The sequence below is a fragment of the Homo sapiens genome, chromosome 1 (genome assembly GCF_000001405.40).
Source record: "Homo sapiens chromosome 1, GRCh38.p14 Primary Assembly".
Lineage (NCBI taxonomy): Eukaryota > Metazoa > Chordata > Mammalia > Primates > Hominidae > Homo > Homo sapiens.
In genome coordinates this window covers 8,050,695-8,078,504 of record NC_000001.11, presented here as the reverse complement: position 1 = coordinate 8,078,504, position 27,810 = coordinate 8,050,695, and the positions used below count along the sequence as shown (strand labels likewise).

The following is a 27,810-nucleotide window of genomic DNA, read 5'->3' as shown; positions in this document are numbered from 1 at the left end:
GACCTCATATTCTGTCAAACTAACACCCAGCTCTGTTCTAGTCATTCTACCAACCTGCCATTCTTTCCCCTTCTGTTCTGAGTTTTCAAATTCTTCCTTGCGGCCCAGAACAAATGACTCATAGATGGGGAGTGTGTCACCGCCAACTGCCCCTCTCTATTTAAAAACAGAGCTCAAGTTCTACCTTTTCAACAACACCTTCCCCAATTCAGTGATGTCAGCAAATGCTTACCAGGCAGTATTATGTGTGCTGTGTCCTGTGTGGAGCCTGAATGTACTAGAATAGAGAGGAGATCAAAAGATAAAAATAACATGGCCTCTGGCGTCAAGGTATTTCCAGTCCAGCAGAACGATTTTCTTTTTTAAAATAATAAAACAAAGTAAAGCTCTAGGCTGATAAAGACACAGGCTAATGTTACAGTACAAGCTGAGGCAAAAAGTAATGTGTACTTTCTCTGAAACTGCATTTTATTTGTACTCCTGTGATTTTATGATTCTCCTACAGTAATCTATATCCACAGCTGATTTGGAAACTTCCGGAGGGCAGGAACTGTATTTTACCTGTCTCTAGTGAAGCTTCAGGAATAAGCCTTAGAGAGGAAGAAAGCTACAGCAGAGAGCCCAGGGAGAGAGGCCAGAGGTCATCCTACCATGATCCTACCACGGAACCAGTTTTTCTAAAGGCAGTTCCCCTCATCCTTATCACAAAAAAGCAGCAAATCATAACGAAGCCGCAAATTAACCAGAACCTTTCTTCTTCAAGGAATGAATCATTTACACACCAAAGGATATGAAGTGGAGTTTTGTCCAATGACATATTCAATTGCCTTGGTCTCCTAGAACTCTAATTTGATGTTGAGATTAAATACATCTTCCAAGATCCTTGAGTGGCAATTGAGAAATACAATTTAAGAAAAATGAATAAAAGTATCTACCTCTAAACCCCACCTTTTCTAGCCCATTAAGGTGATGGTGATTTCAGGTCAAGAGCAAGGCCGTCGAGGTGAAGCTAAAAAGACGTGGCTGGGCTGCAGGGCCGCAGGGCTGTGGTGTCTAGCCAGCTGTTACAGTAGGTGGTTCACGGACAGCTGTGAGTCACACTGACTGAAGTGGCAGCTCTTGACCAGTACTGTAGGCGCTAAGATCCGGTATTTGCTCTTAGACCGTGGGAGCAAAGACTAACAAGGAAAATACAACAGAACAGCTGGGAAATAAATTCCCTTCTGGCCTGCACAAAAAGGGCCCCTGCCAAGTCATTTTCCATCCTGGAGCCAGGGGAGGTCTAGGAAGGATATGTGCTTTTCTGTCCTTCAAATCCTTTGGCCTTCCCTCCAGTCTCACTTATCACTTCCCACCCCCTCCCCCAACCCCTGCTAAAAATGATACTAGGCTTTGACTCTGTTTCGTAACACAAAGCTTGACAAAAATATATGAGTGGACAAGCAACTTTTAAAACGTCATTTTAGCATATTTTTCTTTTTTCTTTTTTGAGACGGAGTCTTGCTCTATCGCCCAGGCTAGAGTGCAATGGCACGATCTCGGCTCACTGCAACCTCCGCCTTCCCTCGTGCAGAGGGAAGGGGTTCCGAGTGGATCTCCCAGTTCGTGGTGAGATGCAGTTGGTTTTATAGATGAACTTGAGAAGGTGGTGTCTGATTTACACAGGGCACAAAGGATTGGTGGGACCAGGTGAGCCATTCACATAGCATGCAAAGAAGCTGGCCACCCCACCCTAATCTCTCTTTTTTTTTTTTTTTTTTGAGACAGAGTCTTGCTCTGTCACCCAGGCTGGAATTCAGTGGCATGATCTTGGCTCACTGCAACCTCTGCCTCCCAGGTTCAAGTGATTCTTCTGCCTCAGCCTCCCGAGTTGCTGGGATTACAGGCATGCACCACCATGCCCAGCTAATTCTGTATTTTTAGTAGAGACAGAGTTTCACCATTTTGGCCAGGCTGGTCTCGAACTCCTGAACTCAGGTAATCCACCCGCTTCAGCCTCCCAAACTACTGAGATTATAGGTATGAGCCACCACGCCCAGCCCCTAGTCTCTTATCATGCAGGTGGGGTCTCTATCTGGCCAGCACCATGTAGCCTGCTTCTTTACTACACACGTGGCAACAAAGGAAAGGGGAGAGAGCCTCTGTGTTGAACATACCTGGCTTCCAGGAAGCCCTTTTCTATTGGCACAGCTGCTGGCATTTACCTATGCAAGCTTCCAGCTTGCTTGTCTATGTTTGCAGCTTGATTTTTCAGGCTGCTTTGTATTAGAAAAGAAATTATTTGTGGGCTGCTTTTTATTAAAAGGACTGAGGACTCTCTTACCCTCACTATCTGCCTAAGTAATTTCTTTTTAACACCTGTATCAATCTCTCTATCTCCTTATCCAGATTCAGGAAAGGTGAACTCACAGGAAAAGGAGACTAAAGTTCTGATAGAGGAACTTTTACCATAGGCTACCAGCCATTCTTTCCAGGGATGATGTGTGCAAGACTCATCTGCATAACAAGACAGCCTTTGCTCACCCATGCCTTTCCTCCTGGCGGCCCCCGTGACGTGTCACCACCTCCCACCTGGAGCTCCAGGCATCTAGTCCTCTCTGTAGGGTATAAAAACTGCAGTCATCTGGCCCTTCTTTGAGTCTCATATTTGTGTGGCTCCCTGTGCATGTGCACAGAATAAATGTGTGTGCCTTTGTCCTGTTAGCCCTCTATTGAGAGTTCGTTTTGTAGACTCAAATGAGCAAACCTTCAAAAATGGGGAAAGGAAATTCCCTTTGCTCCTACACCCTTCTCTTGGTTTCAAGAGAGCCATGAATAGCTTCACCAGGGAACTGTCAGTTCTCTTAGGAAACCACCCAGATTCCAGCTACAACCTTGTAGGATCAGAGTAAACCAGCCTTCAGAAGAATGCATGCCTCGGCCGGGCGCGGTGGCTCATGTCTGCAATCCTAGCACTTTAGGAGGCCGAGGAGGCGGATCACCTGAGGTCAGGAGATCAAGACCAGCCTGGCCAACATGGCAAAACCCTGTCTCTACTAAAAATACAAAAAATTTAGCCAATACAAAAAAAATTAGCCGAGAGTGGTGGTACATGCCTGTAATCCCAGCTACTCGGGAGGCTGAGGCAGGAGAATTGCTTGAACCCGGGGGGCAGAGGTTGCAGCGAGCCGAGATCACGCCACTGCACTCCAGCCTGTGGGATAGAGTAAGACACTGTCCGCCCCCACCCAAAAAAAGAAGAATGCATGCCGCTTAGGACCTCCAGTTTAGCATTCAATGCTTGGTTAAGAGTAACTTTTTGACCCAGGCAGTATTTTTCTTTAAGTGAGCTCAGTGATAAATGCATTTTCTGGATACAATATCTGGCAACATATCTTACTTTATTAACGTTAGTTTTGGGGGCACACACACTTTTTCAGTTTCAGTAGCACTTTGTCTGAGCTGGTTCTTCCTATGAGATGTTATCAACAACATGTACTGGGGTATTCCTATGTAAAGAATACTATTCTAGTGGGGAATATGCAAAACTCATAATCAAGTTGGGGGAACGTATACAAACAATTTATGCATATACATAAATAATGAACACACACTCTCTCACTCTTTGTTGTTGCTGTTGTTGTTGTTGTTTTTGAGACTGAGTCTTGCTCTGTTGCCCAGGCTGGAGCGCAGTGGCGCAATCTCAGCTCACTGGAACCCCCACCCGCCAGGTTCAAGCTATTCTCCTGCCCCAGCCTCCCAAGTACCTGGGACTACAGGCGTGGGCCACCACACCCAGCTAATTATTGTATTTTTAGTAGAGACAGGGTTTTGCCATGTTGGCCAGGCTGGTCTCAAACTCCTGACCTCAGGTGATCCACCCACCTTGGTGCCTTGGCCTCCCAAAGTGCTGGGATTACAGGCATGAGCCACTGCACCCAGCTTTTTTTTTTTTTTTTTTTAAAGACAGGGTCTCATTATGTTGTCCAGGCTGGCCTCAAATTCCCACGCTCAAGCGATCCTCCCATCTTAACTTCCTAAGTATGAACACACTTTTTTTTTTTTTTTGAGATGGAGCCTCGCTCTGTCTCCCAGGCTGGAGTGCAGCGGCGCAACCTCGGCTCACTGCAACCTCCGCCTCCCGGGTTCCAGCGATTCTAGCAATTCTCCCACCTCAGCTTCCTGAGTAGCTGGGATTACAGGCACGTGCCCCATGCCTGGCTAATTTTTTGTTTTGTTTTGTTTTGTTTCAGTAGAGATGGGGTTTCACTATGTTGGCCAGTCTGGTCTCGAACTCCTGACCTGAAGTGATCCACCCTCCTCAGCCTCCCAGAGTCCTGTGATTACAGGCGTAAGCCACCATGCCCGGCCAGACACACTCTTTTGATTATTTTTTTCCAGTTAGATCTGATCTGCTGGTAGCTTTCAGCATCACCCTAGCCCTTTAGCTTTCTTCACTTTAGACATACCAAAATAAAGATTAGGACATTGAGACAGGCAGAGTAGTGTAAAGCTACAGAAAGGAAAATATGAAATTAATAATATCTCACTTATCCAAGAATCACATATGTAATTATCTTAGCTAATTGGAACTCTGTTGAGAAAAAGGGAAAGAAAATACAAAAAGATATTTTGGTAGTCAACTTAGAAGTGACAAAGCTAATGCACCAGATATTACATACACAGAGAGGCAGACACAGGAGAATAAGTGATCATTGTTCAGAAGAGAAATGAAAGTTTTTTATTTAAAAAATAGTACATTGGCTGGATGCAGTAGCTCACGCCTGTAATCTCAGCCCTTTGGGAGGCCGAGGTGGGTGGATCACTTGAGGTCAGGAGTTCAAGAACAGCCTGGCCAACATGGTGTAACCCCATCTCTACTAAAAAAACAAAAATTAGTCGGGCGTGGTGGCACGTGCCTGTGATCTCAGCTCCTTGGGAGGCTGAGGCAGGAGAATCACTTGAACCTGGGAGAAGGAGGTTGCAGTAAGCCAAGATCACGCCAATGCACTCCAGCCTGGGTGACAGAGCAAGACTCTGTGTCAAAACAAAAACAAACAAACAAAAAACAATAGTACATGGACTCAAAAAGCTTATTCATGCAGAGCAAGCTGGTGCAGAGTCAAAAGGTCTAATACTCCCAAACCTGTGAAAATCTCAATGCGAAATCCCAATTGTGAAATCCCAATTTCACACCTATGGCTGTAACAGTCTAGAAAAGCTACTAGCACACAGTAGGCCCTCAATATGCATTCACTGGTGAATGATGGACAGCAACTACTGTTCTAAATGAGGAGCCAAGACCTCAATAAACAGATAGATTGTACTGAATATAATTTTAGTTAGGTATAATAGATGTAGAGTAAACATTTTACTTTTTTTCCAAAAAGCTCACTATAAAAGTAAGTTTCCTGGCCAGGTACAGTGGCTTGCACCTGTAATCCCAGCACTTTGGGAAGCTGAGGTGGGCAGATCACTTGAGGCCAGGAGTTCAAGACCAGCCTGACCAACATGGTGAAAGTACAAAAAATACAAAAATTAGCCAGGCGTGGTGGTGCGCACCTGTAGTCCCAGCTACTTGGAAGGCTGAGGCAGGAGAATCACTTGAGCCCAGGAAGCGGAAGTTGCAGTGAGCCAAGATCATGTGACTGTATTCCAGCCTGGGCAATACAGTGAGACTCTGTCTCAAAAAAAAAAAAACAAAAAGTTTCCTGTATAATGAAGCAAGCATCAGACAGGGAAAACTTAATTGGTTCTAAAGTGGAACCTGAGTTGTTGTCTGCTGCAGGAGAAATGGAATTAAATGGAATTCTGCTGTGTGGCAGCAGGAAGTGGCCAATGTAGAATTCTATATGAAAGGGCAATTTAATTTCCATTCCCTTGGGGTGATAGGTGCGATTTCTTTACTACCTATATAAGTTGAAGAAAATTCCCTCTCACATCTCACACTACACATTTTCCTTAATTTATAATGTAAACTCCACAAGGCCAAGAAGTTGTGGCTGTGTATACGCTGCTGTGTCCCAGCACCCAGAGCAGTGCCTTGCACAGAGAAGAGGATCAATAGCTGAATGAATGGAGTAATATTGGCTAGGTGGCAAGACCTCTCCTAGACCAACACATAGCAGGCCTCTCCGACGTGAGGCACACTGAGCTTGGCAGGTTCCAGGAGTGTCAAGGTAGACAGGTGAGGTGTGTCCCTGCCTTCGCGGAGCTTATAGTCTGGTTTAGAGGAGATATTAAAATACAGCAAGAGGCCTGGCACAGTGGCTCATGCCTGTAATCCCAGCACTTCAGGAGGCCGAGGCGGGTGGATCACTTGAGGTCAGGAGTTTGAGACCAGCCTGGACAGCATGGAGAAACCCCGTCTCTACTAAAACTACAAAAATTAGCTGGGCGTGGTGGCATGTGTCTGTAGTCCCAGCTACTCGGGACTACCTTTATAAGAGCTTTGGAGTTCACAAAGTGATTTTGTATATAGCATCTCATTGGATTCTCACAGCAATCCTATGGAAATGGCCAGACAAGTTTGATAATGCTCATTTCACAAGTGAAGAAAACAAGGACTCAGAGAGGTAAACTGAAATTGTGCGATTTCGCACAACAAATAAGGAGAGTGCCCAGCCTGGAACCCAGGTGTTTGGACTTCTGGTCTACCGCTCTTTCCATTAAATCACAACTTTGCTGTTTCATTTACATCCCAGGTTTACCAATCTCATTGGAACTGATCTCCTTCCTAATCAGTTCCTTCTCCTACTTTCTCCCTTTTCTAAGTTGTGAATAAACCGAAGGACTTGAGAAGTCATAACCTGGCCAGTGAGAACACATGCAAATATGGAATTTGAAAATAGTTACAGAATAATACACACATGAATGAAAGGTGAGTTTGTGCTTAGTAGGTAAATTCCTAAAGGAACCAATCAATGTAATTCAAAATAAACCTAAGTAGGCAGGATGCGGTGGCTCACGCCTGTAATCCCAGCACTTTGGGAGGCCGAGGCTGGTGGATCAGCTGAGGTCAGGAGTTCAAGACCAGCCTGGCCAATGTGACACAACCTTGTCTCTGCTAAAAATACAAAAAAAAAAAAAAAAAAAAAATTAGCTCGGCATGGTGGCTCACGCCTGTAATCCCAACTACTCAGGAGGCTGAGGCAGAAGAATTGCTCGAGCCCGGGGGGATGGAGGTTGCAGTGAGCCAAGATCACGCCACTGCACTCCAGCCTGGGTGACAGAGCGGGGCTCCATCTCAAAAAATAAATTGAGTAAAATAAACCTAAATAAACACTAGGAACACTATTTAAGCAATTAAGAACTTTCTAATGTAAATTTTGTTTATAATTTTGAAGGAAAGGGAGGGATAAAAAACGACAGGAATGAACAGTGTAATTTACTCCTTTTTATCTGGCCCAGAACGAAATGTACTTGTAAATACGAGGAGTACATGTTGTTTTTATTTAACCAATTAGTCACAGGTTAAATGAAGCAACTAAAAAAAAAAAGTTTCTGCAAGAAGTAATCTACAGGATAGGTGCTGGTCATTGGAGAAATATAAATAAATGAATCCCAAAATATAGAGACTAAGAAAACAAAATCATGTGGAGGTAAACCTGGCAACTTCACTATCACTGTTACTTAAGAATTCCTCTCACAGAAAATGTGAAATCTCACAGTAATCTAATACTAAATAAACGGCTTTGTGTAAAAAAACAGCTGAACACCCAAAGGTTTGTTGAACCTATCTCCACATTTCCAAGTTTATTCCCAATATTCTCGGGTTCGCTGTGGTGCTGAGCCTTCCTAGGGTCGGTTGCCACAGCTGTAATTGTGCACACTTTAGGGAATCGGAGATGCTGCTGTCTGGGATTCCCGGGGTAAAGTCTGTTCAAGTTACCGGAAGGCCCCACTTCACTTTCTTGATGCGAGAAAAGTCTAGAATTCATTTTGTACAAGTCACATCTGAGAGCGCAGCCAGATCTAAAGCATTTTTTCACTTGAACAAAGGAGCAGCCATCTCCAAAGTCCAGTCCAACCTGAAATACCAGATTTCCTGACGAGAAGTCTGCCCCACGCTTGCCCAGTGCCTTGTTTAACCCCTTCCTTCCCTCAAGTCCTCAGGAGTCTACCTTCAAACACCATCAAGGTTTTCTGAATTTAAAACATGTATATATGTGTTTATCCATATATTTTAAATTCAAATAATCTATGTGTGTGTACACACACACACACATTTTTTCACCTGTATGTATATATAAACAATACATAGCTTGAGCCCAGGAGTTTGAGGCTGCAGTGAGCCATGATTGCACCACTGCACTCCAGCCTGAGTGACAGAGAAAGACTCTGTCTCAAAAAAAAAAAAATTATACATAAAAAGACAAAAACTAACAGCTGTTGGCGAGGTTGCAGAGATAAGGGAATGCTTGTATGCTGTTGGTGTGAATGTAAATTAGTTCAGCCACCGCGGAAAGCAGTTTGGAGATTTCTCAAAGAACGTAAAACAGAACTAACATTTGATTCAGCAATCCTGCTACTGCGTATATACCCAAAGGAAAATAAGTCATTCTACAAAAAAGACACATGCACTCGTATGTTCATTGCAGCACTATTCACAATAGCAAAGATCCAGAATCAACCTAGATGCCCATCAACAGTGGACTGGATAAAGAAAATATGGTACATATACACCATGGAATACTATGCAGCCATAAAAAAGAATGAAATCATGTCCTTTGAAGCAACATGGCTGCAGCGGGAGGCCATTTCCTAAGCAAATCAATGCAGGAATGGAACATCAAAGACTGCATGTTCTCACTTCTAGGTGGGAGCTAAGTATTGAGTACACATGGACATAAAAATGGGAACAATAGACACGGGACTGCTAGAGGGTGGAGGAGGGGAGAGGAGCAAGGGGTAAAAATCTACCCCTTCAGTACTATGCACACTACCTGGGTGATGGGATCATTCGTACACCAAGCCTCAGCAACACACAATTTACCCAGGTAACAAACCTGACCATGTATCCCTTGAACCTAAAATAAAAGTTAAATAATAATAATAATAATAATAATGTCTTCACTGTCTGGAGTTTAAGGTCTTGTGATTCTTCTTAATCATACTTGATACATGCAATTAAAACTTATTAGATATAAAAAGTTTTGGCTATTAAAAATCTTGTAATCAGGCCAGACGCAGTGGCTCATGCCTGTAATCCTAGCACTTTGGGAGGTGGAGGCAGGCGGATCACCTGAGGTCAGGAGTTTGAGACCAGCCTGGCCAACATGGTGAAACCCCGTCTTTACTAAGAATACAAAATTAGCCGGGCGTGGTGGCACATGCCTGTAGTCCCTGCTACTTGGGAGGCTGAGGCAGGAGAATCACTTGAACCTGGGAGGTGGAAGTTGCAGTGAACCGAGATCATGCCATTGCACCCCAGCCTGGGCAACAAGAGTGAAACTCTGTCTCAAAAAAAAAAAAACAAAAAAAAAAAAGAAAGAAACCAATCTTGTAATCAGAAAAATCGTGGAATCTGAAGCATAAATCTTTTATTAAAAACTAATAAACTAAATAAGTGCAAGTAACGGGATGATACACCTTCATTTTTCTTGGCCTATAAAGTTAGGAAAGATTAAAAAAAAGATTAACACTCATTGATAGCAAAATATAGACGAAATGAACACTGAAACACTGTTGGTCAGAGTGTAAATTAGTTTAACTTATTTGAAAGGTAAGCTAGCAATTGGTATCCAAAGATTCAATCATTTCCTTTGATCTGATCATTCTGCCTTGATCAATTTTTTCTAAGGAAAAAATTAAAGATGTACAATAAGTTTGGGGTGAAAAGTTGTTCATTTCAGCATCATTTATAATGATCAAAATTAGAATCACCCATGCACGGGAGAACTGAGAAAATAAATTGCAATTCCCTGATTGGTATGGTCATGGAACCAAGTGTCAGACTTTGTGTGTGTGTGTGTGTGTGTGTGTGTGTGTGTGTGTGTGTGTGTGTTTGTGTGTGTGACGGAGTCTCGCTCTTGTCGCCCAGTCTGGAATGCGGTGGCCCGATCCTGGCTCACTGCAACCTCCGCCTCCTGGGTTCAAGCGATTCTTCTGCCTCAGCCTCCCGAGTAGCTGGGATTACAGACACACGCCACCACGCCCTGCTAATTTTTGTATTTTTAGTAGAGACGGGGTTTCGCCATGTTGGTCAGGCTGGTCTTCTACTCTAACCTCAGGTGATCCGCCGCCTCGGCCTCCGAAAGTGCTGGGATTACAGGCTTGAGCCACCACACCCGACCAGAAATGTTTAATTGTTACTTCTAGTTCTGCTAAGCACGTTAATATGAGGCAGGCAATCTAGGCGCTGCATTCTTCAGAAACAGAATATATTAGTTCAATAAACTGTAGGTAATCTACCAGTCAGTAAAGGCTCTGACTAAAATTACTAAACCTAAGAAGTACATTAAACTTTTCTGCCCAAGAATATAAAATTCCAGCCTGGCGCGGTGGCTCACGCCTGTAATCCCAACACTTTGGGAGGTCGAGGCAAGCGGATCACTTGAGTTCAAGAGTTCGTGACCAGCCTGGCCAACATGGTGAAACCCCGTCTCTACTAAAAATACAAAAAATTAGCCGGGTGTGGTGGCGCACGTGTGTAATCCTAGATGCATGGGGAGTCTGAGGCAGGAGAATCGCTTGAACCCAGGAGGAGGAGGTTGCATTGAGTCGAGATTGCACCACTGCACCCCAGCCTGGACAACAGAACGAGACTCCAACTCAAAAAAGAAAAAGAATATAAAATTCCTTTGTTTGAAGTTTTTCATTTTCCTGAGGAAAAACACTATGGATAACTAGCAATTTCTTACAACTGATTTTACATTATGCAATTATTTATTTCACAGATGAATATAGCAATAAATAAAATAGTTTAAAAAGTATTTTCTCAAATAAAATCTATGCAATTTACATAATGGCTTCCTCATGGGATGAATAAAGGGCTCAGTAAATATTATTTACTGTCACAGCCGAGAGCTTTACATATATTGATTCACTAAATCTTCAGCCCTATGAAGTGGGCCCTATTATTATCCCCATTTGACAGACGGCACGCTGAAGTACAGGCAGCTTAAGTAATTTCCCCATATAACCCAGATAGGAAATGCCAGAGGCAGAACCAGAATCCAGGCAGTCAGCATTCAGAGCCAGAGGCCTCAACCGCTGTGCAACCCTGTTTTTAAAATGCAATAATTAGATACAAATATCGTAATTAAAACTCATGTAACCGAGATTAATATTTAAAATGCATTGGGATTTTGGTTCACTAGAAGCAAGAGAGGGGCCATGAGTGCTGGCTCACGCCTGTAATCCCAGCACTTTGGGAGGCCGAGGCGGGTGGATCACTTGAGGCCATGAGTTTGAAACCAGCCTGGCCAACAGAGTAAAACACCGTCTCTACTAAAAATACAAAAATTATGTGGGCACAGTGGTGCACATCTGTAATCCCAGCTACTCAGGAGGCTGAGGCATGAGAATCACTTGAGCCTGGGAGGTGGAGGTTGCAGTGAGCCGAGATCCAGCCATTGCACTCCAGCCTAGGCAACAGAGTGAGACTCTGTCTCAAAAAAAAAAAAAAAAAAAAAAAATTAGCTGGGCGTGGTGGTGCATGCCTGTAATCTCAGCTACTTGGGAGGCTGAGGCAGGAGAATCTCTTGAACCTGGGAGGCAGAGGTTGCAGTGAGCTGAGATTGCACCACTGCACTCCAACCTGGGCAGCAGAGCGAGACTCCATCTCAAAAAAAGAAGAAGAAGAAGAAGAAAGAAGGAGGAGGGGGAGGAGGAGGAGGAGGAGGAGAAAAGGGAGGAAAGAGATGATCAAGGAAGGCTTATCCTGGAGGTGGTGATGCCAAGGCATCCACAGAGGTCCCAGGTCCGGTGGGGGCAGGCTGGTGAAGAACATTCTAGGCCAAGAGTAAAGTTTAGCTGAAAGGACGGACCATGGTTTGTCCCTGAGGCTAGAACACCTGCGAATGCAGAAGGAACAGTGGGCAACGATTAAGAGGCAAGGGCTCTGTGTCTGACCTTGCCTTTATTTTGTGCCTGAGTCTTATGTTGTCTTTTGTTTTATTCTGTGAGAAATGAAGATGGGAGGATTTTAAGTGGCAGCGTGACATGATCAGGTATTGTTTTCAAAACAGCCATCACCCAGGTGGCAGTGTGAAAGATGGATTGCAGAATGGAAGATCTTGGAATCAAGAAGACCAGTTAAAAGGCAAGAGATATAGCAGCTGCAGGCAGCTGGACTGCAGGGAAGGGATGGATGAAGTGTCATTTAGCAGCCGGAACTCAAGGCTTTGATCCCCAGTTAGATCTGAGGGATTAAAAGAACAGTAACAGGCCTGGCGGGGTGGCTCATGCCTGTAATCCCAGCACTTTGGGAGGTCGAAGCAGGCAGATCACCTGAGGTCAGGAGTTCGAGACCAGCCTGACCAACACGGAGAAACCCTATTTCTACTAAAAATACAAAATTAGCCGGGCGTGGTGGTGCATGCCTGTAATCACAGCTACTTGGGAGGCTCAGGCAGGAGAATCGCTTGAACCCGGGAGGCGAAGATTGCTGTGAGCTGAGATCGCACCATTGTACTCCAGCCTCCAGCCTGGGCAACAAGAGTGAAACTCCATCTCAAAAAAAAAAAAAAAAAAAAAGAACAGTAACAGTGTGACAGAGATAATTGACTAAAGAAAAACTAGAAACTAGTTACACACATACACATATATTTTAGAGGTATCATGGTGATATGGTTTGGCTGTGTCCCCACCCAAATCTCATCTTGAATTCCCACGTGTTGTGGGAAGGACTCAGTGGGAGGTAACTGAATCATGGGGCAAGTCTTTCCCATGCTGTTCTGGTAGTAGTGAATAAGTCTCACGAGATCTGATGGTTTTCAAAAGAGGAGTTCCCCTGCACAAGCTCTCTCTCTTTGCCTGCCGACATCCATGTAAGACGTGACTTGCTCCTCCTTGGCTTTCACCATGATTGTGGGGCTTCCCCAGCTGTGTGGAACTGTAAGTCCAGTTAAACCTCTCTCTTTTGTAAATTATCAGGTCTCAGGTATGTCTTTATCAGCAGTGTGAAAATGGACTAATACACATGGTAAGTAAACTACTTTTCGTAAGACCACTTAGGTTCCTAAGAGGGGAGTCTATTTTTTTCCCTCCTGACATTACCTTTCCTTATAATAACATCCTGAATCACAATTATTCTGATTTCTCTATTAATTACTAGGTCACCTCAAAGGAAGCAAAACATGAAAAGCAGAGAATTTGCTTCTCCAGAATTATGCCTTTGCATAATCATTGAAATTGAATCATGTCGAAGAACTCATATTGAATGTAGGCAATTCTTGAATCTTGTTTTTTGTTTGTTTTGTTTTGTTTTTTGAGATGGAGTATCACTCTGTCACCCAGGCTGGAGTGCAGTGGTGTGATCTCAGCTCACTGCAACTTCTGCCTCTTGGGCTCAAGCAATTCCCCTGCCTCAGCTTCCCGGGAAGCTGGAATTACAGGCGCCCACCACCACAACCAGGTAAGTTTTGTATTTTCAGTAGAGATAGGGTTTCACCTTGTTGGCCAGGCTGGTCTGGAACTCCAGACCTCAAGTGATCCACCCACCTTGGCCTCCCAAACTGCTGGGATTACAAGGCGTGAGCCACTGTGCCCGGCCTGGAATCTTGTTTTTTAAAACAGTTTTTTAAAAAAGGTTTTTCAAGTATAGATCTGATATTCTGATTTAGAAATGCAAATACCAGCCATAAATTCAGTTATGTTTTATGTATAAAAAAAATTATAAAACGGCAACTCAAAGTACTGTTTAAAAAGTTCTAAATGACTTTTTAGCTATACCTGCATCCTTAAAGTAGTCAATTCGGTTTTAAAAAATACGGTACATTTAAAGGAATACTATTATAAATTTATGTTCTGAGGATAATTCAACAACCAAGTTAAGTATATTAGTAGATAAATGTTCCTTTATTAAATGTACCTTCATCTTATATAAACTGCAATTGAATTCTAATTCGGGATCGCAAATTGTTTGAATAATGTTCAAAGCTGATTAAATTATGAACTAATTGGCCGGGTACAGTGGCTCACGCCTGTAATCCCAGCACTTTGGGAGGCAGAGGCAGGTGGATCACTTGAGGTCAGGAGTTCGAGACCAGCCTGGCCAACACAGCAAAACCCTGTCTCTACTAAAAATACAAAATTTAGCTGGGTGTGGTGGCGGGCACCGGTAGTCCCAGCTACTCGGGAGGCTGAGGCAACGAATAACTTGAACCCCCGCGGCGGAGATTGCAGTGAGCCGAGATTGCACCACTGCACTCCAGCCTGGGTGACAGAGCAAGACTCTGTCTAAAAAATAAAAAATATGAACTAATAAACATATTTTTCAATTAAACAATAAAAGCCTTTGAAAACTACTAAAGCACTAAAAAAACAATAATAATGAAATTTAAAAATTAGCCTTAAAGAACCAGAAAGCAGCCTCTGAAAACCCCATCCTGGTCACAGTGCTGACAGCACTCCAGAGTCCCGAAGCAAATCTGCTGTCCTCAAAGACAGGACGCAGATCTCTCCTAAAGCTGCAGGTCCCGACCTCCCCGGTGATGAGGCTGAATTACAGCCTAATTAAAGCCAAAGAAGAAGGCTTTGTCTCTGTCTTCTCCCAAGAGATGGAAAGGAAAAGCTGGAATTGCAATTTGCAGGATAGCCTAGCCCAAGCTGTAACTCCCGCACCATCCTCTGAAGTAAAAGCTAAGTATCTAAAGGGAAGGCTTTAATGGAAATATAAGACCCTGAAACAATGCCAAAGAAGGCTGTTTTAGAAAAATGACAGAGTACACATATCCTTTAAATCCAGTAACATTCCCTTTTAGCAGCAATTGGTGTCATCAAGCAATAATGGGAATAAGCAAAAGCACACAGGCTTCCAAGTCAGACAGACTGCCACCATTTAGTAGCTGTGTGACCTTGGGCCAGTTACCTAACCTCTCTGACACCTCATTTTCTTCATCTGCAAAATGGTGATAATTATACCTACTTTTAAAAGATTATGGTATAAAGGTTAAATGAAATAATATATGTAAATGCACAATGCCTGGCACACAATAACCTCCAATAAACAGTCACTACAATCGTTTGCCTGAAGATTCTTCGTTGGCTTTGCATTTCTAATAAATAAATAAATGTTTCGAGACTTTCTTTTTTCTTTTTACCACCAAGTGAGGCAAAGCTGACTCTGCTTTCTGTCCAACCCTACTTTTTTTTTTTTTTTTTTTTTGAGACAGGCTGGAATGCAGTGGTGCCCTCATGGCTCCCTGCAGCCTTGACTTCCTGGGCTCAAGCAATCCTCCCACCTCTGCCTCCCAAGTAGCTGGGATCACAGGCGTCAGCCACCATGCCCCGCCAATTTTTGTATTTTTTTGTAGAGATATTTGCCTTGGCTCCTATCTCATCTCTTGATTTGAATCATAACAAAAATAGAAGCAAAAATCCTTGAGTGCCAACTCATGGGTCCTGAATACAAACAAGAAGGTGAGACTTCCATAAATGAAGCAACTAGAACGAGGTTTTAAAAACGTATCTCTGAGCCAGGCACAGTGGCTCATGCCTATAATCCCAGCACTTTGGGAGGCTGAGACACGAGGATCACTTGAGCCCACGAGTTGGAGACCAGCCTGGGCAACAGAGTGAGACCCTGTCTCTACAAAAAAAAAAAAAAAAAAAAAAAAACTTAAAAAAATAGATAGGCATGGTGGCACACGCCTGAGGTCCCAGCACTCTGGGCGGCTCAGGAGAGAGGGTCACTTGAGGACAGGAGTTTGAGACCAGCCTGAGCAACATAGCAAGACCCCATCTCTATGAAATAAAAATAAATAAATCATAAATAAAAACTGTATGGTCCAGGCTGGGTACAGTGGCTCACACCTGTAATCCCAGTGCACTTTGGGTGGCCGAGGCGGGTGGTTCACTTGAGGCCAGTAGTTTGAGACCAGCGTGGCCAACATGGTGAAACCCTGTCTCTACTAAAAATACAAAAAAATTAGCCAGGCGCGTGCCTGTAATCCCAACTACTCAAGAGGCTGAGGCAGGAGAATCACTTGAACCCAGGAGGTGGGAGGCAGAGATTGCAGTGAGCCAAGATGGCGCCACTGTACTTCAGCCTGGGCCACAGAGTGAGACTCCGTCTCAAAAAAACAATAATAAACCTGTATAGTCCAGTCCTAGATTATGTGATGTAGACTGAAATACTATGGTGATTCACAAGTGGCAAAATGTGATATGGGTTAGAGCAGTGACTCACAAACTTTCTGTGATAAAGGGTCACTTCTTTCGTTTTACTTTGTTTGGTTTGGTTTTATTTTGTTTTGTTTTAATTTCCACCCCTTCAGGAACCAAAAATCAGTCCTATTGCCCATGACTTTAACACAGCTCACGCAGCATGCAACTCATCACAAGTTCAACAGCATCCAAAGGGGTCCATGCCCCGTCAAGACTAATTCCCTGATCATATGCTTGGGTGTTGGGGACAAATGCTCAATTGCTAAAAAGTCTCTTACCCTTATTTACTTTCGATTTCTGCGTTCCTCTTGTCACAAACCGTAACAAGCAGATTCCGAACTAGTTCTAAACTAGTAGTTCGCAAACTACTCTGTGAGTTTGTCCTGATCTGGATGTAAAGGGTCGGATTTTGGTTCTCAGAGGAGCATCCCAGAAGGAGCAGTGGAAGACAAAGCCAGGTCCTAGAGGCTGGAAGAAACCCTGCATGTACTTGGTATCATTATTTTTATCACAGCTCAGTACAAATCAGTAGAATTTGGGGTGGGGTATAAGATACAGCAAGAACCTCTATATTTCATAAAATGAGGGGAAAATTATTTCAGTAAGGATCCCAAAAACAACAAAAAGAAGAAACACACATGAGGGTGTTTCCAAACCACCATCTATCTCACTGGCTTAGCAGCAGCAGCTGAGGAGTGGAAGCCAGAAGTACATTCCCATGGAGGAAAGTAAACACTTCATGTTTGCACATCCATCTCAGGAATCCTCTTAGTCACTGAAGGAAAGCAGACAGGAGTGAGTCCAAGGTTTTGGTCAAACCCTGCCTGGCATGAACTAATGAGCTCAGGCTCAGGCCATACTGCCTGGGTTCAGATCCTGGCTCATCCATTTCCTAGCTGTGTAGCCTGGGGCAAGTTGCTTGACCTCTCTTTGCTTCTATTTCCTCAGCCATAAGGTGGGAACTACCCTTCATCAAAGAGTAGCTGTGAGGACTGAAGGAGGCAACGCATGTAAGTCCTTTAGAACAAAGCCTATTACATTGGAAGTGTTATTATTATTATTATTATTATTATTATTATTATTATTGAGACAGAGCCTCGCTCTGTTGCCTAGGCTGGAGTGCAGTGGTACAATCTAGGCTCACTGCAGCATCCGCCTCCTGGGTTCAAGCGATTCTCCTGCCTCAGCCTCCCATGCAGCTGGGATTACAGGTGAGCACCACAACACCAGGCTAATTTCTGTATTTTTAGTAGAGACAAGGTTTCACCATGTTGTCCAGGCTGGTCTGGAACTCCTGACCTCAGGTGATCCGCCCACCTTGGCCTCCCAAAATGCTGGGATTACAGGTGTGAGCCACCACGCCCTGCCATTATTATTATTATTCGGAGACAGGGTCTTGCTCTGTTACCCAGGCTGCAGTGCAGTGGTGCGATCGTGGCTTACTGCAGCCTAGGCTTCCCAGGCTCAAGTGATCCTCCCAGCTCAGCCTCCTGAGTAGCTGGAACCACAGGCACACACCACCATGCCCGGCTAATTTTTTTATTTTTATTTTTTGTAGAGACAGGGTCTTGTTATGTTGCCCAGGTTTATTTTTTATTTTTTATTTTTTTTGAGACAGAGTCTCACTCTTTTGAGTTGCTCAGGCTGGAGTGCAATGGCGCCATTTCAGCTCACTGCAACCTCCGCCTTCCGGGTTCAAGCAATTCTTCTGCCTCAGCCTCCCAAGCAGCTGGGATTACAGGTGCCCACCACCAAGCCTGGCTAACTTTTTGTACTTTTAGTAGAGACAGGATTTCATCATGTTGGCCAAGCTGGTCTCAAACTCCTGACCTAAGGTGATCCACTCGCCTCGGCCTCCCAAAGTGCTGGGATTACAGGCATGAGCCACTGCACCTGGCCCCAGGTTGACCTTGAATTCCTGGGCTCAAGTGATCCTCCAGCCTCGACCTCCCAAAGTGTTGGGATTCCAGGTGTAAGCCACTACGCCCAGCCAGCTATTACTAGTACTGCTACTACTGCTACTATTACTATTTTTATTAGGCTTTTTTCTTCTTGCAGGTTCATTCCCAAGACCAATTTTAGAAGTATTTAAGAAGTCCTAGTCTAATTCAGCAGCTCAGATGATGAACCCCTGATATTCAAAAGCCCTAAGTCTGAACAGAGCCTCTAGGAATTACTGTTTCATTGGCCCCCTTCTCGCAGTTAGTTGCTACTCACATCCTTCAAAGCCCTGATCAAATCTCACCTTCTCAATTAAGCTGTATTAATTAGAAATTGTGTATAACTGCACGGAATAGAAACCCATCTCCTCGACCAGAGGCAGGGTCTCACACTTGTAATCCCAACACTCTGGGAGGTTGAGGTAGGATTGTCTGAAGCCAGGAGTTTGAGACCAGCCTGAGCAACAAAGCAAGACCCCTGTCTCTACAAAGAAAATAATAATAATAATAAAAGAAACCCACCTACTGTGGCAGAATGAAAAAGGAGCACATTGTCATCACTTAACAAGAAGTCAGGACAGAAAGACCAGGTCTGGGCCGGGCACGGTGGCTCACGCCTCTTAGTACTTTGGCAGGCCGAGGTGGGAGGATCACTTGAGCCCAGGAGTTCAAGACCAACCCGAGCAATACAGTGAGACCCTATCTTTACAAAAAGAAATTTAAAAATTAGCCGGGCGTGGTGGCACATTCCTGTGGTCCCAGCTACTCAGAAGGCTGAGGTGGAAGGATTGCATGACCCTGGGAAGTTAAGGCTGCAGTGAGCTGTGATTGCACCACAGCACTCCAGCCTGGGCGACAGAACAAGACCCTGTCTCAAAAAAAGAAAAAAAAAAAACAAAAAAGAAAGAAAGAAATATTTACATGCCTTATAAGGTTAATGTTATGAAGAATATGTCAAAAGAAAACCAAGAAGCAATGGGAAAATATGTTGGGTAAGAGCTTGATACATGTGGTGACAGAAATGCCAGAACCTTAGTATTCATATGGGATCGACTTCAAGATCATGAGAACAGAAAAATGTCAAATAGGGGAATCCCAGGAATATGAACTGTGTTATTTGGTAATAAACATGGGAGATGGAGATAATGAGATGAGAGGTGGGGACACATTTATTTGGTTGTGTTTGTCTTTTTCTTTTCTTCTCCTGGTTCTCTCTTCCCAGTAAAAGAGGGACATGTTTATATAAAGTGAATTAAACTACTCAAGGAAACTCACTGACCAATACAAGCTTTTTTTTTTTTTTTAATTTTTTAGACTGAGTTTCTCTCTTGTTTTGCAGGCTGGAGCGCAATGGCACAGTCTCGGCTCACTGCACCTTCCACCTCCTGGGTTCAAGCGATTCTCCTGCCTCAGCCTCCCCAGTAGCTGGGATTACAGGAGCCTATCACCACACCCGGCTAATTTTTATATTTTTAGTAGAGATGGGGTTTCACTATGTTGGCCAGGCTGGTCTGGAACTCCTGACCTCAGGTGATCCACCCACCTCGGCCTCCCAAAGTGCTGGGATTACAGGCATGAGCTACCAAGCCCGGCCAAGATGTTTATCTTTGTTCACTTACTTAACAAACACTTGTTGGAGCCTGCTGAGTCCTAGGTGCTGTAGTAGGTCCTGGGAGTACATGGTAATCAAACAAACTTGGTCTCGATCCACGTGGCACTGATATGCCAGTTGGGGTGCTAGGGCAAGTCAATAAAGAAGTAAACAATCTCTCCTCCCACTGCCCAAGATGCCAAAAAGAAAGAAGCCCAAGGGGAAGAAGGCGGCTCCCGCCCCTGCTGTCAAGAAGAAGCAGAAAGCCAAGAAAGTGGTGAATCCCCTGTTTAAGAAAAGGCCAGGCCAGGCACGGTAGCTCACGCCTGTAATCCCAGCACTTTAGGAGACTGAGGTGGGCGGATTAGCTGAGGTCGGGAGTTCGAGACCAATCTGACCAACATGGAGAAACCCCCCATCTCTACTAAAAATACAAAATTAGCTGGGCGTGGTGGCACGTGCCCATAATCCCAGCTACTTGGGAGGCTGAGGCAGGAGAATCACTTGAACCCGGGAGGCGGAGGTTGCCGTGAACCGAGATTGCGCCATTGCACTCCAGCCTGGGCAACAAGAGCAAAAATCTGTCTCAAAAAAAGAAAGAAAGAAAGAGAGAAAGAGAAAGAGAGAAAGAAAGAGAAAGAAGGAAGGAAGGAAGGAAGGAAGGAAGGAAGGAAGGAAGGAAGGAAGGAAGGAAGGAAAGAGAAAGAAAAGAAACAGCCTAAGAATTTTGGCATGGGACAGGACATCCAGCCCAAAAGGGACCTCACCGGCTTTGTGAAATGGCCCCACTGTATCAGGCTGCAGTGGCAGAGAGCCATCCTCTATAAGAGGCTGAAAGTGCCTCCTGTGATGAACCTGTTCACCCAAGCCCTGGACCGCCATACAGCTACTCAGCTGCTTAAGCTGGCCCACAAGTACAGACCAGAGACAAAGCAAGAGAAGAAGCAGAGGCTGTTGGCTCTGGGCTGAGAAGACAGCTGCCAGCAAAGGGGATGTCCCCACTAAGAGACCACCAGTCCTTCAATGTCCTTCAAGCAGGAGTTAACAACGTCACCACCTTGGTGGAGAACAAAAAGTCTCAGCTGGTGATCACTGCACACGACATGGATCCCATCGAGCTGTTGTCTTCCTGCCTGCCCTGTGTCGTAAAATGGGGGTCCCTTACTGCACTATCAAGGGGAAGGCAAGACTGGGACGTCTAGTCTACAGGAAGACCTGCACCACTGTTGCCTTCGCATGGGTTAACTCGGAAGACAAAGGAGCTTTGGCTAAGCTGGTGGAAGCTATCAGGACCAATTACAAAGACAGACACGACGAGATCTGCTGTCACTGGGGAGGCAATGTCCTGGCTTCCAAGTCTATGGCCCGCATTACCAATCTCAAAAAGGCAAAGGCTAAAGAACTTGCCACCAAGCTGGATTAAATGTACACTGTTGAGTTTTCAGTATATAAAAATAATTAAAATAATACAGATTTTCCTTCCAAAAAAAAAAAGATGTAAACAAATATACTGCTGTAAAAAGCACAATGAGAAGGCACCCATGAGAACAGCCACGGAAAGAACACTGGCACTCTAGAGAACAGAAAGAGAAAAGGCACAAGACAGCAAGGACAGGTGTGTTCCAGGAATGTGACAAGGCCAGGTGGCTGGCAAATCACAATCAAGGGGACAGTGGCTCGACAGGGTCCACCTTTCTGAATGCATCTCCTAGCACTGGCCCTCACTCTAAGGCCAGCCTTGCTCCACTTGAACAAGTGAAGCACTCTCTTGCCTCAGGCCCTTTGCATGGCCTCAAACACTCTTCCCCTGTGTCTTCTCATTGTTCACCCTCATTCAGATCTCTGCTCAATAGCCCCATATCAGTGACCATCCCTCTAAAATAGCCCCTTTACAGGCCAGGCACAGCGCCTCATGCCTGTAATCCCAGCACTGTTGGGAGGCCAAGGCAGAAGGATCACCTGAGGTCCAGGAGTTCAAGACCAGCCTAGCCAACATGGTGAAACTCCATCTCTACTAAAAATACAAAAATTAGCCAGGCATGGTGGTGCGTGCCTGTAATCCCAGCTACCTGGGAGGCTGAGGCAGGAGAATAACTGGAACCCGGGATGCAAATGCTGCAGTGAGCCGAGATCGTGCCACTGCACTCCAGTCTGGGTGAGAGAGTGAGACTCCATCTCAAAAAAATAAAATAAAATAGGCCATTTAGCCCCACTCTGTCTTCTAACTTTACTGCACCTTTTTCCCTTAATCATTTGTCTACTTACTGTCTTGTATATAAACAGATACATTATCCGTCTCTAGAATGTAAGTGCCCTAAGAGCAGGAACTTCATTTGCTCATTGATGGAGCTGAGTACCCAGAAAAGCACCTGGAATGGAATAGGCTTTTAATACGTATTTGTGGAATGCATAAATGCATTACAAGTGTAAGAGCAAGCCAGAAAGAACAGAAGATACATAGAACAGTAAAATTGCCACATCTTCTCTGGGTTCATGAGTCATCACAAATGGGTTATGTCAGATTACTTGAGGATATGAAAGAAAATAGATAACTTCAAAAGCAATGCCTTTCAATATAGAAAAAAAAACACCAGGCCAGGTGTGGTGGTGCACGCCTATAATCCCAGCACTTTGGGAGGTTGAGGGGGGTAGATCACTTGAGCCCAGGAGTTCGAGACCAGCCTGGAAAACACAGTGAGACCTTGTCTCTAAAAAAATTTTTTTTTAATTAGCTGGGCATGGTGGTGCATGCCTGTAGTCCCAGCTACTAGGGAGGCTGAGGTGGGAGGATTGCCTGAGCTCAGGAGGTCAAGGCTGCAGTGACCCATGATGACACCACTGCACTCCAGCCTGGGTGACAGGGAGACCCTGTCTCAAAAAAAAAAAAAAAAAAAAAACAGGAAGAAAAGAAAAAGAGGTCGGGCACGGTGGCTCACACCTGTAATCCCAGCACTTTGGGAGGCCGAGGCAGGATCACTTGAGGTCCGGAGTTCGAGACCAGCCTGGCAACATGGTGAAACCCCATCTCTACTAAAAATATAAAAATTAGCCAGGTGTGGTAGCGGGAGCCTATAGTCCCAGCTACTCCGGAGGGTGAAGCATGAGAATCTCTTCAGTCTGGGAGGCACAGGTTGCAGTGAGCCAAGATCATGCCACTGCACTCCAGCCTGGGCAACAGAGCGAGACTCCATCTCAAAAAAAAAAAAAAAAAAAGAAAAGAAAAGAAAAAAGAAAAGAAAAAACACTCTGCTAAACCTGTAAATAATTTTTAATTGTACCCCAACAAAAGCTGAAAATGGCAAAATAGATGCCAAGAGCAAAGGATTAACTGTGCTTATCATACAGCAAATCCCTCTCCTGTAAATTAAACAAATAGATTATAACAAGGCAAGAGATATTCAAGACTTAGAGAATGAATCCAAGAAACCCATTTGTGCTAAACAAAGGTACCAGGGTAATCAGGAAAGATCAGCAATGTGGAAACTAGGCTGGAATGCAATGGGGTGATCTTGGCTGATTGCAACCTCCACCTCCTGGGTTCAAGCGATTCTCCTGCCTCAGCCTCCTGAGTAGCTGGGACTACAGGCACCCACCACTACACCCAGCTGATTTTTGTATTTTTAGTAGAGAAGGGATTTCGCCATGTTGGCCAGGCTGGTCTGGAATTCCTGATCTCAAGTGATCCACCGGCCTCGGCCTCCCAAAGTGCTGGGATTACAGGCATAAGCCACTGCATCCGACCGGAAAAAGTAACTTTTCTAAAATTAAAATTAAAATTTTCTCAATGAAATCCTAGTATCATTATTAGGCTGCATAGGAATTTTCTCAGGAACACTCTTAAAAACAAGAACAAAAGAAAACAACAGAAACCAAGGCTCTAAACATTCATACATCCATTTCTTAAGTTTTCAAACAAAAACTTAGAAAGAAAACCCAGAAAACATATCCAAATAAAAGTGATTTGACCTCAGAGCTAAGAGAAAGGTTACTAGTCCCACAGGTACAGTGTACCAAGCTCACATTTCTGAAAGGTGAATGGAGACGATTTTCAGAACTAGAAAGGTGAAATAATCCGTAAAGATTAGTGACTACAAGCCAGGCACGATGGCTCACACCTGTAGTTCCAGCATTTTGGGAGGCTGAGGCAGGTGAATTGCTAGAGCTCAGGAGTTTGAGACCAGCCTGGGCAACATGGCAAAATGCAAAATGTCATCTCTACCAAAAATACAAAAATTAGGTGGGTATGGTGGCACGCCAGTGGTCACAGCTACTTTGGAGGCTAAGGTGGGAGGATCACTTGAGCACAAGAAGCTGAGATCACGTCACTGCACTCCAGCCTGAGCAACAGAGTGAGACTCTGCCAAGAAAAAAAAAAAAGAAAGACTAGTGAGTACAAATTTCATGTTGTAGAAATGTAAAAATAGAGAGAAAGAACAGAAAAAAATCAATAAACACTAGTGACAGCTTTGATCACAATCAGAATAAAATAGGCAGCTTAAAGTATGTGAAAGCAGACAGATAAGTAGATTAACTCAATAAAAAGCAAAACCAGTAATAGCAAGTTATCAATCAGTAAACAGAGTGTAAAAACTATAAAACGTGTAGAATTTCAAAAAGAAGGTTAGACTACTAAACCACAATTTGGAGGAGAAAGAGGATTAGAATGAACCAAATTTATCTTTCCTGGAAGGAAGATCGAGGTTTAGGTAAGTGAAATAAATTAAAAGTAGAAATATTGAAAAGCAGACATAAAAGTCAAAATAACCACCCAATTTACATTCTTAAAGCAGCCCTAAGACATTCACTCAAAGAAACATTGTGAATTAAAAGAAGCAAAGACTGGCAATAAAGTGATAAGGAAATTGACGATGCTCCAATTATCTTCATTCTTGCATTGACTAAACACATATTTATTGGGCACCTCTGTACCCCAGGCACCGTTCTAGGCCCTGGGGATGTAATGATCAGATGCAAGACAAAGTTCCTGCTCTCATGGTCCTTTCTGGGGAAAGCAACACCACACAAACAGACATAAGATCAGGATGAAGTGTAAGCAGATGAGAGTTTCCATTTTAGACAGGGTGGTCAGAAGAGGCTTCTTTGAAGAAGGAAGTTTTGAGCAGATTACTGAAGGGCCAAAGTAAGCCATGAGAAGCTGGAGGCAAAGAGACCAGCAAATAAGGTCCCAAGGCAGAAAATACCTTTTTTTTTTTTTTTTTTTTTTTTTTGAGACGGAGTCCCACTCTGTTCTGTTACCCAGGCTGGAGTGCAGTGGTGCAATCTCAGCTCGCTGCAACCTCTGCCTTCTGGGTTCAAGCAATTCTCCTGCCTCAGCCTCCCGAGTAGCTGGGACTACAGGTGCATGACACCACGCCTGGCTAATTTTTTGTGGTTTTGGTAGAGACGGGATTTCACCATGTTGGCCAGGCTGGTCTCGAACTCCTGACCTCAGGTGATCTACCCATCTCGGCCTCCCAAAGTGCTAGAATTACAGTGCCCAGCCAGAAAATATCTTTTATAAAAACCACAAGAAGATACCTCAATGAAACTTAAAAAAATTCATTATGTATGCAGATATGGGGGATCTTTTGGGGTGATATGTTCTCCAACTGGATTGTGATGATATTTGCACAACTTTACAAGTTTATTTAAAAATCTTTGAATTGTGGATTTAAAACAAGTGGATCTTATGGTATGTAAATTATGCCTCCATGAAACTACTTAAAGCACTTTTTTGGGCTGGGTGCCGTGGCTCATGCCTGTAATCCCAGCACTTTGGGAGGCTGAGGCAGGAGGATTGCTTGAGCTCAGGAGTTCAAGATCAGCCTGGGCAACATAGTGAGACCTCGTCTGTACAAAAAAATAAAAAATTGGCCGGGTGCGGTGGCTCACGCCTGAAATCCCAGCACTTTGGGAGGCTGAGGTGGGTGGATCACCTGAGGTCAGGAGTTTGAGACCAGCCTGACCAATATGGTGAAACCACATCTCTATTAAAAATACAAAAATTAGCCGGGCCTGGTGGCCAGTGCCTGTAGTCCCAGCTACACCAGAGGCTGAGACAGGAGAATTGCTTGAACCTGGAAGGCAGAGGTTGCAATGAGCCAAGATCGTGCCACTGCACTCCAGCCTGGGCGACAGAGCGAGACTCCATCTCAAAAAAAAAAAAAAATTCAAAAATTAGCCAAGCGTGGTGGCATGCGCCTATGGTCCCAGCTACTTCAGAGACTGAGGCTGAAGAATTGATTGAGCCTGGGAGGTTGAGGCTGCAGCGAGCCGTGATCGTACGGCTGCACTCCAGCTTGGGCGACAGAGCAAGACCCTGTGTCAAAAAAAAAATAATAAAATGAAATAAAGGCCGGCGCGGTGGCTCATGCCTGTAATCCCGGCACTTTGGGAGGCCAAGGCAGGTGGATCACCTGAGGTCAGGAGTTCGAGACCAGCCTGGGCAACATGGTGAAAACCTGTCTTTACTAAAAATACAAAAATTAGCTGGGCATGGTGGCGTGGTGGCGGGTGCCTGTAATCCCAGCTACTCAGGAGGCTGAGGCAGGAGAATTGCTTGAACTTGGGAGGTGGAGGTTGCAGTAAGCCAAGATAGCACCACCGCACTCCAGACTGGGCGACAGAGTGAGACTCCGTCTCAAAAAAAGTTAAATTAAAATAAATTTTTTGAAATCCCCCACACACAGAAAGTCAGGAACACAACAGCAAAATGAGGGGAAAGTGCAGTGAGGTGAGGGTGAAACAATGCAGCACCCTGAGCCCAAGACTGGCAGTGTAGTTTGTGTTCTGATGGTTCTGGGAAGCTACGGGAGGGTTTTAGCAGGGGAATGGCATGTTCTTGAAAGATTCTCTCTGGCTGCTCTGTGGACAACCGAGAGCAAATTCTTGGCCAGTGTGGAAGCAAGGAAACTATACAGGAGGTTACTAAGTATTCCAAGCAAGTGGGGACAGTGGCTTTGGTCAGTGCCATGGAGTAGTGAAAAGCAGTGAGGCTGGAAAGACATTTTGAAGGTGGGCTGATGGGACTCCCTGATGGATTGGATTTCGGGTGTGAGCACAAAAAGAGAAGTCAAAGTTGACTCCTGGATGGCATCTGGCCTGAGAAATCATGTGGATGGTGCTGCCATTTACTGAAATGGGAAACACTGAAGGAGAAGCAGGTGTACAGGGTAGAAATTGAAAATTCTCTTTTGACATGCGAAGTTTCAGATGCTGTTAGAGGTTGAATTGCGTCCCTCAAAACAATATACTGAAGCCCTAACCCTCAGGCCTGCGCAACGTAACCTTATTTGGAAATAGGGTCTTACAGATGCAATTTTTTAAAGATGAACTCATTCTGGAGTAGGATGGGCCCTTCATCCACTATGACTGGCACCATGGGAAGATGGAGGCACAGCGGGGGAGGCGTGCAGCTGCAAGTGAAGGAATGCCAAGATTGCCAGCCACAGCCAGAAGCCAGAAGAGGCCAGGAAGGATTCCACCCAGAGTGCAGCATGGCCCTGGTGACACCTTGATCTTGGACTTCGGGCCTCCAAAGCTGTGAAAGAATAAATTTCTGTTGTTTAAAGCCACCCAATTTGTGGTACATTCTTTTTATGGTTTGTTTGTTTGTTTGTTTGTTTGTTTGCAATGGAGTCTCACTCTGTTGTCCAGGCTGGAGTGCAGTGGCGCAGTCTTGACTCACTGCAACCTCTGCCTCCCAGGTTCAAGCAATTCCTCTGCCTCAGCCTCCTGAGTAGCTGGAACTACAAGCACGTGCCACCACGCCCGCTAATTTTTGTATTTTTAATGGAGACGGGGTTTCACCATATTGCCCAGGCCAGTCTCGAACTCCTGACTTTGTGATCCGCCCACCTCGGCCTCCCAAAGTGCTAGGATTACACATGTGAGCCACCACGCCTGGCCTGTGGTACATTCTTAAAGCAGCCCTAAGAAATCAATACAAGAAATGTCTAGGCAGGGCAA

General features: G+C 44.5%; 1 long non-coding RNA gene and 1 pseudogene across 1 annotated transcript in view, besides 3 other annotated features; one reads left to right on the top strand and one right to left on the bottom strand.

The window, feature by feature from the left end:
- ERRFI1-DT (ERRFI1 divergent transcript) overlaps positions 1-27,810 on the bottom strand; it is a 100,578-nt gene that overhangs the window by 48,566 nt on the left and 24,202 nt on the right. The gene's annotated exons all lie outside the window — the stretch shown is intronic.
- Positions 6,678-8,126: an enhancer, noted in NCBI's record as "VISTA enhancer hs1833". NCBI's record gives its function as "enhancer in: neural tube[7/8] | limb[6/8] | branchial arch[6/8] | eye[4/8] | nose[6/8] | facial mesenchyme[6/8]" and the evidence as "EXISTENCE:transgenic organism evidence [ECO:0001131][PMID:17130149]".
- Positions 10,129-10,628: an enhancer, noted in NCBI's record as "H3K4me1 hESC enhancer chr1:8127937-8128436 (GRCh37/hg19 assembly coordinates)". NCBI's record gives its function as "activates a minimal SCP1, AML or CMV promoter by ChIP-STARR-seq in naive H9 embryonic stem cells {active_cell/tissue: H9 hESC(naive)}" and the evidence as "EXISTENCE:reporter gene assay evidence [ECO:0000049][PMID:30033119]".
- Positions 12,829-13,029: a silencer, noted in NCBI's record as "peak44 fragment used in MPRA reporter construct". NCBI's record gives its function as "represses an SCP1 promoter by STARR-seq MPRAs in K562 erythroleukemia cells {active_cell/tissue: K562}" and the evidence as "EXISTENCE:reporter gene assay evidence [ECO:0000049][PMID:32103011]".
- RPL7AP18 (ribosomal protein L7a pseudogene 18) lies at positions 20,018-21,324 on the top strand (annotated as a pseudogene).